General features: G+C 41.4%; 1 protein-coding gene across 2 annotated transcripts in view, besides 1 other annotated feature; it reads left to right on the plus strand.

The window, feature by feature from the left end:
* Window positions 1-12262, plus strand: part of SND1 (staphylococcal nuclease and tudor domain containing 1) — a 440400-nt gene that overhangs the window by 11577 nt on the left and 416561 nt on the right. The window lies entirely within an intron of this gene.
* Window positions 1882-2704: an enhancer, noted in NCBI's record as "OCT4-NANOG-H3K4me1 hESC enhancer chr7:127305706-127306528 (GRCh37/hg19 assembly coordinates)". NCBI's record gives its function as "activates a minimal SCP1, AML or CMV promoter by ChIP-STARR-seq in naive H9 embryonic stem cells {active_cell/tissue: H9 hESC(naive)}" and the evidence as "EXISTENCE:reporter gene assay evidence [ECO:0000049][PMID:30033119]".

Raw genomic sequence — 12262 nt, forward strand, 5'->3', positions numbered from 1 at the left:
TTTAATCTGCTTTCTCTGGGTTCTGGAGAGTTCCATGACTAAGGAAATTTTTGACTTCCTAAAGTGCAGATAGACAGGTGGAGGTGAGAGGCAAAATCATGTGAGAGAAGTCTGACTTTTTTCCTATTTGCTGGCTCATAGCTCTTCCTCTTTTTCCTTTTTCTTCTTGGATAAGAAGGTGGTGTGTGATATTGTGATGTAAAAAGAAATATATCTGGTCGTGGTCTTCTTGGCACAGAGCTCCTAAAACTCTAGTCATTTCTTTTTTGCTTTTTTCGAGACAAGGTCTCTGTTGCTCAGGCTGGAGTGCAGTGGTGCGACCACAACTCGCTGCAGCCTCAGCCTGCCAGGCTTAAGACATCCTCTGGCTAATTTTTGTATTTTTTGTAGAGGCGGGGTCTCTCTGTGCTACCCAGGCTGGTCTTGAACTCCTGGGCTCAAGTGATCCTCCTACCTTGACCTCCCAAAGTGTTGGGATTACAGGCGTGAGCCACTCTGCCCAGCAAACAAGCCCCTCTGAACCACACTTGAGTTAATGAGTGACTCTGGGAAGCTCCTAAGTGTGAGTGGGGCCTGGTTACTAGAGATCGAGTTCAATCACTGATGGCCAGTCATTTAATAAATCATGCCAATGTAAGGTAACCTCCTTAAATGATGGGGTTTGGAGAGCTTTGGGGTTGGGGAAAATGGGGAGGTGCTGAGAGGGTGGTGTGCCCAGAGAGGGCATGGAGGCTGTGCACTCCACCCCCCATATATTACCTTATGTATCTCTTCCATCTGGCTGTTCCTGAGTTGTATACTTTTATATAAATCTAGTTACTAGTAAGTAGGCTGTTTTCCAGAGTTCTGTGAGCTATTCTAGCAAATTAATAAACCCGAGAAGAGGCTCATGAGAACACACACCTGATTTATAGCTGGTCAGTCATTAAGGGTGGCTTGAGCTTGGCATCTTCAGTGGGAGGAGTATTGTGGGATGGCACTTTTGACTTGTGGGATCTGACACTAATTCCAGGAAGACAGTGTCTGAATTGAATTGAATTGTAGAACACCCAGTTGGTGTCTGCAGAGAATTAGAGGATTGCTTGGTGTGGAAAAAAACCCACACACATTTGGTGTCAGAAATGTTTGTGTGACTGTAGAAGAAAAACAAAAACAATTTTTTTGTCCTTTTTAGGGTGGTAGGTGGTAGTAGGAATGACAATATCTGGCACGGAGAACACTTGTTTTTTAGAGTTGTTTGGGGAGATATCACTGGACCAGGGGATCTGGTTTGCAGCCTTTCTGGATACTGGGAAGTGCTCATCCTAATCCTGGTATTGGTTTACCCAAAGTTTCCCAGGCTTCACATGTTTCTGTACTCCTGCAGTGGTTTTGACATACCACTTTATTGAGTTTTGGAAATCGTTTTGACAGTCAACATTTTTTTTTTTTTTTGAGACGGAGTCTCACTCTGTCGCCCAGGCTGCAGTGCAGTGGCACAATCTTGGCTTACTGCAAGCTCCGTCTCCCGGGTTCTCGCCATTCTCCTGCCTCAGCCTCCTGCATAGCTGGGACTACAGGCGCCCGCCACCACGCCCGGCCAATTTTTTTGTATTTTTAGTAGAGATGGGGTTTCACCGTGTTAGCCAGGATAGTGTCAATCTCCTGACCTCGTGATCTGCCCACCTTGGCCTCCCGAAGTGCTGGGATTACAGGCGTGAGACACCGCGCCCGGCCGACAGTCAACAATTTTTAAAATTTAAATAATTTTATTTCTAAAGGCAACTTAAATTTCACTATTGAAAATGGAAAGTCAATATTAAAGAAAAAATTATTCATGACACTTGTTAAAGATGGTAAGGCAGACTTTATTCAAGGAGGGCTGTGGTGATAGGTATAGGGACCACTGCAGTGGAGTCTTGCATTGGGAAGGAGCGATTTAGAGGTATTTGTTTCCAGTCTCTGAAATAACTAATGTGATGTTATTTTCAGCCTTAGGAATTCTGTTCCAGGAGAGCGGGAATTACTGTTTTATAGCCTTTAATACAAGGACATTAAAAAAAATTTTGGTAATAACCCAAAACAGAATCACTGTGCCAAGTGACATTTATCTGCTTGCCTATCAGGACTCTGCCGCAGGTTTTAATGAGAAAAGTGGTGCATTCTATTCCTCCCGGTGTGTAAGGTAGAGGGACACTCCCGAGTACCTGGGTCCTGAAATCCCGCCATGATCTATTATTGTGTGTGGTAATTACTTGCATTATTGCTCTTGGCAGGTGAGCCCTTTCACAGCCCAGAGGCCAGGAGGCTGCCTCTATCACTTAAAAGCTGAGTTATCTTGTTAAGCTGTTCTCTTGTGAGGGCTTTAGAATCTCCTGAGACCTCCCCACAAGCTCTCAGCAGGACACAGGTCCAGCTCCTGGCTAAGCCTGCCCTGCCCTTGTATTCGGCCCCTGAACCGTAGCTCTAGAGGAATAACTTGCCATTATATTACAAGTAAGGCGATGTGGGGCTGCTAGCCCGGACTGCTTGGTTTCCATTTAATCCTTAAGAGTTCCCATATTGGTGCTCTTAATGAAAGTTCTTAGGAGAAAATGTGTTCCTTTGATTATCAACAGGAGGAGCTGAAAGGCAATGTAGAGAGAAGAATAAGCTCAGGACTCAGATTATCTGAGGAAAAGGGCCTCAGAAAATTGATTTTTGGAAGTGGTTGATGGCACAAGGCTAAGCATACAGTAAAGGTGGCCCCTGAGTCTGAGCTGTCATAAACTTTCATTTGAAATCTCTGCTTTATATGTTAAAGAGTTTAATTATTTGTTATTCATTGGAGAGAGTGCCCCCCTCAAAAAAAAAAAGGTGTGGACAATCACAGAGCTGCGCTTTAGTGATAGCATAGGGAAGGTAGAATATTATGAGTGTTTTTAATAAAAATGGATGAGAAGTCTCTTTTATGGACAGTACTTGCAGTGCCGGGATCATAAACAAGTTCCAGATCATGCTGATATAGCTGCCTGTTAAATATCTTGATGTGTGCAGATCTGTGTTTGATGACAGAGGGCGGGAAGGGCCTGGGACACTGGCATCGTGGTGGGGAAGGACTGACCAGTTCTCTTGTAATTGCCAGCTGTGTTAGATGATCAGGGACTTGAGTTTTTATTCCTTTATGATAATCTCCCTAGGATTTTAATAATGAGGAGAATCCTAGGATGGTACCTTAATTCAGCAATAATGGACTTTAAAATGTTTATGGTAGACCTGTGATTTGCACTTTATTTTGACATCTAAAATTGACTATCAGTATTTCAAATAGGAAAAATTTCCTATTTGAGTTTGGAAAATAAGTGGGGAAAAGTCATGCTTCTCATGAGTATCATAGAAGCTGACTTATTTCCTCAAGCTCTATGGTCAGCTCTGTATATAAATCTGAGTAAGTATATTAGACATTCTTTAGAGATGATTCACTCTGAGTAATACTGAGTATTATACTTAACATCACTATTTCTATAGGTCAAGTTTAGGGAAAAGTGTGCATGACTTTACAGGAACAAACCTGAAGAAGAGTAAATGCAGTCATTTTCATTTCTCTAAGATATTTCAAGATCTCTGGTTGGCTTTCATTTAGTTGTATCTGGTATACAGGTCCCCTACCACGTTTTATCATTTTATTATGATTTGATATTTTGTACAGTACATTTTACTCAGGGGCACAGTGATGGCAGTGCTGTGAGGAGGAGAGATGAGATGACAGCAGCCATTGTTATTATGGCTAGTAACGCAGTAGCTGCTGTCCCCCATCCCTGGATCAGGAACAGCAGCTGCTGTGCTTCTCTCCTTTCTCTGGGCCTTGGAACTGGGGAGGAGGAAAGTTAAAGTTAAAGGAAGTTAAAGGAAGGGGTTGCTGGACTTAACGGATTTCTGGTAGTGCCCAAACTAAATCTTTAGACTAGGGCTGAGTCCATCATTGTTTGGTAAACAATATTACAGATCAGGCGTCGAAAAATATTCCGAAAGCACAGTCCTTGGAATTGTTAATCCCACTCTTGACAGGCACAAGAACACATCTGTATTACAGACATGCACATACAGTGCTTAGAATAGGTCTTTATGTCAAAATGAGAGAGTGTAGAATTTGGTGTTTTGAGTGGCTGCATTGTTTTCCATTATGTAAAATGCTGTTGATCAACTACACTTTGAAAGCACTGAAGAGTTAAGTTATATGACTGCTAGTCAACATGGCTACAGTCTCAGGGGAAGAAAAATGACTCAGTTAAATGCCATCATCTTTCAATAGAAACAAAAGAAAAAGGCAGAATTGAAGAGAGGCATGTGCAGAAATCTTCTGAAGGAGACTATAGAACAGTAGTCACCTGAGAACTTGTTAGAAATGTAGACCCTCAGACCCTACCCCAAAACTAGTGAATCAGAATCTGCATTTTTACAAGATCCCCAGGTGATTGATGTTTGCACAGTAAAGTCTGAGAAGTGCTGTCCATTAATTCCCTGCCTCTGTTCCCCACTCTAACTTCCTCATTCAGAAACATATGTTCTCCAGCAAATTCTGCTTAAACTTTGACCTTCCTCAAAGAGGACTCCCCAAACCCTAGACTAGATCAGATTGCCCTGCCGTATGAACACCATACTTCTCTCCCATAGAACTCGTGACAGTATTACATAAGAGAATAATTGTTTAGTATCAGTCTTCCTGTCTATGCTGGATGTTCTGTAAGGGCAAAGACCATGTCTGTCCTATTCACCATGGTAAATCCAGAGCCCAGAACAAGACCAGGAAAAAATAAGTATTTTTTTGGAATAAATGAATGGCACTACTGCATATCAAGTACAGTGGTGGACTCAGGAGATGACAACAACAATTGAGACATGGTCCTTGTCCTTACCACAGCTCATAGCTTAGTGAATTTTTGCTCAAGTGAATGAAAGCCGAACCCCTAAGAGCATGTACTGCACTCACAGCTGCTTTGCCTATTTCTCTGCCAAATGACAAGAGATGGCCCTAATGTCTCTGGGGCCTTCCACTCCCTCGGCATGATCTCTAGGCAAGCATGCCCTCACTTCTTTCTCCCCTCATTTGGATTCCCCATTTCCATGGTGCAGTCCCCTGTCCCACCTTCTCCCTCTGCCCTCTTTAATGCAACTCCAACTTGCCTCTGCATCACTGCATTCTCCCCTCAGTAGTTCATGTTATCTGTGACAACATTTGCTCCAGTCAGATTCCCTCAGCAGTGCCTCCCCCTTTTTTTTTTGAGACGGAGTCTTGCTCTGTTGCCCAGGCTGGAGTGCAGTGGCTTAATCCTGGCTCACTGCAACCTCCGCCTTCCAGGTTCAAGCGATTCTTCTGCGTCAGCCTCCTGAATAGCTGGGACTACAGGCGCTCGACACCACGACCAGCTCATTTTTGTATTTTTAGTAGAGACGGGGTTTCACCAGGTTGGCCAGGCTGGTCTCGAACTCTTGCTCAGGTGATCCGTCCACCTTGGCCTCCCAAAGTGCTGGGATTACAGGTGTGAGCCACTGTGCCTGGCCAGCGGTCCCCTTTTTACAGTATATCAAATTTCCCTTGTTACCCACTTCAGTAATGTTTTACCTAACTCATTTCTAACCACTCAATTGATTATTTCCTGTGAGCTGTCAAGCCTACTCTGTTCTCAACCAAAACCACTCAAATCTATGCAATATCCCTGACCACTTTGGAGAATCTCTCAATTAACTGTTCAATATTCAGTTGTCTTCCCACTTTCCTCAGTCACTACCTATATCCTCCAAAGGGATGCTTGGTGTCCGAGCAAATTCTATCATCTCTTCTATGATTATATTGTCCACGAGTCTTATATTTGTTCTTGCTTCCTAGGCAAGACTCTCAGTAGATTTACCCCAAAGCCTATATCCAATACCATGGTAACAAAAATACATCTGAATGCCTACACTGAGAGCAATGACAGAGTAACAGTATTTCCTTCCTGTCCCCTCCATGTACTGTGCTGGCTAAAAATATTACCCTGTTACCTTTGCATTTTGATCCAGACAGCCTGCATTTTAGAGAAGATCAAAGGTGTGGGGACAGGAGGAGGAAGTGTTAGGATTTGATAAGGAAAAAAGGAAATAAAATTCAGCACCTTGCAGATTAACATAGAGAATTTCTCTTGGCATTCCCAAAGCATCTTTTCTTTTTTTTTCTAGTTTAGACTGGAGGACTTAGGCATTGTTATTTATGTATTTATTTAACTAATTCTAATTTTTTTTTTTTTTTGAGACAGAGTCTCTCACCCAGGCTGGAGTGCAGTGGCGTGATCTCGGCTTACTGCAACCTCTGCGTCCTGGGTTCAAGTGATTCTTGTGCCTCACCCTCCTGAGTAGCTGGGATCACAGGCGTGTGCCACTGCATCTGGCTAATTTTTGTATTTGTGGTAGAGACAGTTTCACCATGTTGGCCAGGCTGGTCTCGAACTCCTGATCTCAGATTATCTGCCTGCCTCAGCCTCCCAAAGTGCTGGGATTACAGGCGTGAGCCACCACGCCTGGCCTAATTTTAATTTTTTTTTTTAAGATGCCTGTGTTGCCCAGCCTGATCTTGAACTCCTTGGCTCAAGCCATCCTCCTACCTCAGCCTCCAGAGTAGCTGGGATTACAGATGTGAGCCACTGCTCCTGGTTCTCAGGCATTGTTTTTGATAATACGATTCTTTTTTGAAAATAAAGACAGCCAACTCTCAAGAGTGAACGGTTTGCGGCCAGATTGGAAAACTTCACTTAAACCAAAAACAGATTTAATGGTCTTGCCTCTTATAGAAAGTTCTCAGTTACTTTAACTCTGAACTTCCATGACTTGTTTCTCAAATCTTTTGAGACACTAAGAGGTTTCTAGCTTGTCTGAATATAAAACCTAATTAGATCACATTTATTTATTTATTTATTTTTATTTTTAATTTTTCTGTAGTAATGGGTCTCACTTTGTTGACCTAGCTGGTCTTGAAATCCTGGCCCCGAGAGATCTTGCCTTGGCCTCCCAAAGTGCTGGGATTATAGGCGTGAGCCATTGCACTCAGCCATAGATCACGTTTATATGCAATTAAAAAAAAAAAAAACCATGAGATAATTGGCATAGGAAGGAAAAGGGATATCTTTAAAACCCAAGATCTTTTTTGGAGCAGTAGTCTTTTTGAACAGCACACTCAGAAAGTTTGAATTCTGTGATTTGAAAGCGTCTACCATTTTATTTCATTTGGAAAAGATAATGAAACAGTGCATGGATCACACAGAAAGATGTATGGTCCATGCAACATAATAATAGTTTGATATTCAAATTCTTAGAAGTTGCATGTGCATGGAGAGAGGGAGGACTGGGCTAGGGAGAGACAAAGTTTCAGAACCACCAACGAGACCTAGTTCCAGTGATTTGTCTATCACTGATGCTCTACAACAGCCTTTAGTATGTTTAGCATCTTGAAAGGTGTTTTAAAAAACTTCTTATTGTGAAATAATTTCAAACTTTGAGAAAAGTTAGAATAATAGAGATAACTCCTGTATCCCCTTTACCAAGAGTCCCTAACTGCCTTATCATCCTCTCTATATTTATTACATCCAATCATTATTCATTCACAGTAGTTATGTTCTATAAAGTTGCAAACACTGTGAATCTATTGAGTACTGATGGTTAGGTCCCTTCAAACTTCTGGTCACATTTTCATCAACTGATCAATACCTGACCTTGTTCTATGCGCACGCTCCTGGTTTATTTGTTTGTTTGTTTGGAGATGGAGTCTTGCTATGTTGCCCGGGCTGGAGTGCAGTGGCTCTTCACAGGCTGAGTCATCATAGTACACTATAGCCTTGAACTCTTGGCTTCAAGTGATTCTCCTGCCTCAGCCTCCCGAGTAGCTGAAACTATTTGCAGGTACCACTGTGCTTGGCTATTTGTGTACTTCTGTTTAAAGACACTTTATTTGATATATATTTTTGATTCTTTAACTTTGAACTCAAAGCCAATAGCACTATAACTCATGACTGAATGAAGTTTATCTGTCACATATCTGTTTTCTCTGTAAAGTACATCATAGCAGCTTTCTTGTGCTAGGAATACTAGACAGCAAGTCAGAACTACCATTTGGGGCTATTTTAAACAGTGAAATAAACAGTAGCACTAAAATGTAAAAAATGTGGCATTAAATAGACCACATAAAGAACACTTGTTTACTGAGTGAAAGCTGAAACAAGAAGGCAGAGCATTTCCCTGCTGGGAACGAGGACATAGGCAACTCAAAGTTTTGCCACTTTGTGCGTGTACATGCCTGTAAATAACAGTAACAGTGCTGAGAGTATTGATTTGGGGGTTACAAATATATTATAGTGAGTAGGCAAATTTGAAAATTCAGAATCTGAACAGTGAGGATCTTCCGTATTTTTTTTTTCTGAATTATTTGAGAGTAATCTGCAGATACGGTATCCCATATACCATATCCCTTTCATACTTTAATACTTCTAACTATTGTCTTAAAACCGGGGATATCCATCTATAGGAACACAATAAAACCATCAAGATCAGAAATTAACATGGTTATGGCAGGTGCAGTGGCTCATGCCTGTAATCCTAGCACTTAGGGAGGCTGAGGCAGGAGGCAGGCAGATTACTTGAGGTCAGGAGTTCGAGACCAACCTGTTCAACATGGCGAAATCCTGTCTCTACTAAAAATACAAAAATTAGCTGAGCATGGTGGCATGTGCCTGTAGTCCCAGCTACTACTCGGGGGGCTGAGACCGGAGAATTGCTTGAACCCAGGAGGCAGAGGTTGCAGTGAGCCGAGATCGCACCACTGCACTCCAGCCTGGGCGACAGAGCAAAACTCCATCTCAAAAAAAAAAAAGAAAGAAAAAGAAATTAACATGGATACAATACTGCCATCCAACCGGCAAACTCCCTTCAGATTTTGCCAGTTGCCCCAGGGTCACCTATTAGCTGTCATGTCTCTAGTTTCCTTCATTCAGAAATAATTCCTCAGTCTTTCCTTGATTTTCATGATCCTGATGTTTTTTCCAAGAGTTACTTTATAGAATGTGCCTTGTCATGAGTTTGTCTGTTGCTTCCTTATGATTGAATTTAAGACTGTAATTTTGGCAGAAATACCACATAAATGATGCTAAGTTCTCCTCAGTGCACCATATCAGTGAGGCACACCATGTCACTGTCACATTACTAGTGTTGATAACTGTAATTACTTGATTAAGATGGTGTCTGTCAGGTTTCCTCAGTGTAATTTTAGGTATAAGTATCTTATATAATAAGTATTTTATGTAATAAGTAATACATATTTTAACCTGTTCATTATTTAGTAATATATATCCTTCGGTAGGAGATAGCTAAACTATATATTCTATTATATATGATATATGATATATAATATATATCATATATAAACATATACTATATATTATAATATATGATATATAATAGATATCATGTAATGTTATATATGATATATAACTATATTATATAGTATTATAATATGTAACTAGTACTTTGTGAGAAGCTATTTTGAGATTGTACAAATATCTTATTTATTTATTTTTTTGAGATGGAGTCTCGCTCTGTCGCCCAGGCTGGCTTACAGTGATGTGATCTCAGCTCACTGCAGCCTTTGCCTCCTGGGTTTAAGCAATTCTCCTGCCTTAGCCTCTCGAGTAGCTGGGACTACAGACACATGTCACCATGCCCAGCTAATTTTTGTATTTTTAGTAGAGACGGGGTTTTGCCATGTTGGCCAGGCTGATCTCCAGCTCCTGACCTCAGGTGATGGGCCCACCTCAGCCTCCCAAAGTCCTGGGATTACAGGCGTGAGCCACTGTGCCCGGCCTCTATTAATGATTCTTGTTAGTGTGATTTGTTGGCACACAATTATTTTCTAATTCCATCATCCAACATTTATTAGTTGTTTTTCAACTGTAATAGAGAACTTTCTCTTCCACATTTTTTATTCATGTATTTATTCAGTGGATTATAATCTATTACTATTATGTTGATTTTAAAGTTGTCCCAGTTTTGGCTAATGAGAGCTCTTGTAAGCTGGTTCTTATGTCGTTTTGTTATGTCCCCATTATTTGAGTACTTTCTTCTGACACAGCAAGGTATTCCAGGCTCATATTGTACTTTCCCTGCCGCAACCCTGGAATCAGCTGTTTCTTCAAGAAGCCTTGGTTCTATTTAGCAGAGAAGAGTTTTCCTTCCTTCCCTTTCCTTCCCTTTCCTTTTCCTTCCTTCTCCTTCCTTCTCCTCCCTCCCTCCCTGCCTGCCTCCCTGTCTCCCTGTCTCTGTCTTCCTGTCTTCCTGCCTTCCTCTCTCCCTTCCTGCCTTGCTCTCTCCTTTCCTGCCTTCCTCCCTCCCTTCCTGCCCTCCTCCCTCCTTCCGTCCCCACTTGCATTTCTGCATTCCGTCCAAGAAACAGGAATGTTTAGCCAAGATCTGGGTACTAGGTGTGCCCATTGCTACTAGGGTATCATAGTTTTTGGGCCCTCTTCTTTAGTGGATGGAGTCAGGAAATATTTGTATATATAAACAACACACATGTATCTCTCTATTTTTATATTTATCTGTATATATTAAAAAACAAGGGTTTACTTCTAATCCAACAGGATTTTTTTTTCTGGACTTTCTGTATCTGTAACTCTCCTCTGAGAAACCTAGCTCTCATTATCCTCCAGGTATGATTTGCTCAGTTCCCCTGTAGGTAACAAATCTGCTCACACTGAGTCTTCAGCTTTCTGTGACCTGCCAGCAAATGCTGGTTTAATCTTCAGGTCCTAGTACCCTGCCAGCTTGCGCTGACCAAGGGGAGTGTTTATAGCTTTTTTGACCTGTTGGTAGCTTAAAGTGATTTAGCCATAGGATTAGTCACCCTTAAAATAAGGACTGCCTAGCATCATAGCAGAAAATTAGCATCTCTTTTGTTTTTGGAGAAAAAAAATGCTTTGCTTTTAGGCATTTTTTTCTTTGAAATATTTCCAGCTTCCTTTTAAACTTCTTGGAAGGCTTGAGCTGGGTTTATTTTTTTCCTCCAAATTTAATGTGCTTTTCGTATTTGTCTGGAATTGAAATAAAGTACTTTTAAAAATGATCTCCAGTTTTTCTGTGATGTATTTAGTGTTTAAAACAAACACTTTATTTTGGCCGGGTGCAGTGGCTCATGCCTTAATCCCAGCACTTTGGGAGGCCAAGGCAGGCAGATCACCTGAGGTCAGGAGTTTGAGACCAGTCTGGCCAACATAGTGAAATCCCATTTCTATTAAAAATACAAAAATTAGCTGCACTTGGTGGCACACGCCTGTGGTCCTAGCCACTTGGGAGGGTGAGGCATGAGAATCGCTTGGGCCTGGAAGGTGGAGATTGCAGTGAGCCGAGATTGTGCCATTGCACTGCAGCCTGGGCAACAGAGTGAGACTCCATCTCAAAAAAACAAAAAAACCCTTCATTTTTTTTCCTTATTAAAACATGTTTCTTCACTAGAGGTTTATACATTTACCCCAATAGTATATGTTTGATTCCTTTTTCCCATCAGAATGTTATATTTATGAGTTGTGATAACTGTTAGACCTAAATTCTCAGTGGCTGTTCAGAATCAAACTTCTTGATTTTTGCTGTATACGTTTAGATGCATGCTCCAGAAATTCTGTTTTCTCTGACCTGTTAGTATCGTTATTCAAGAAAATAATATGTAGTAGTTAATCTTATTGAGTGGTTTGGTGCTCTAGTCTGTCTTTATGCTTTGTTTTCTCAGATTGCAACACTTAAGAAAATTCAGAAATGTTCCTTTCTGAAGGGGAACATGGGAAGAGAAAAATGAACACTGATCACTGCAGTAACTTTCCCTTACCTTTAATAGCCTGAGTACTTGACCCTCGCCATTTGATAGAGGAGAAGGTCCCCTCTATATAGTGATACTCTTTTTTATGTCCTGGAGTCAGTTAATTTTTGGTTCCTCCTCTGATAAGTTAACACATAACTGTTACCTATCCTGAAAGATTTTCTTTCGACAGCTGGGCTAGATTTCTCTTAAATGACACTTCACATTTGTCTGCTATGTGCGGTTAGTTCTTCCTGAGTTGTTCTGTCTTATTTCTGCATAAATAAGCCTTGATCTCCCAGGTCCTTGGCAACAGCAGAGCTCAGCGTGAGGTAGTGAGGACTTGGCTTTGCAGAGGACCATTGTCCTGGAGACAGTCCTGACCCTGGTTTCCAGGAGGTTGAGTGAGTTCCTTCATGGTAAAGTTTTCGATTGTGA

This window comes from Homo sapiens, chromosome 7, assembly GCF_000001405.40.
Source record: "Homo sapiens chromosome 7, GRCh38.p14 Primary Assembly".
Classification (NCBI taxonomy): Eukaryota; Metazoa; Chordata; class Mammalia; order Primates; family Hominidae; genus Homo; species Homo sapiens.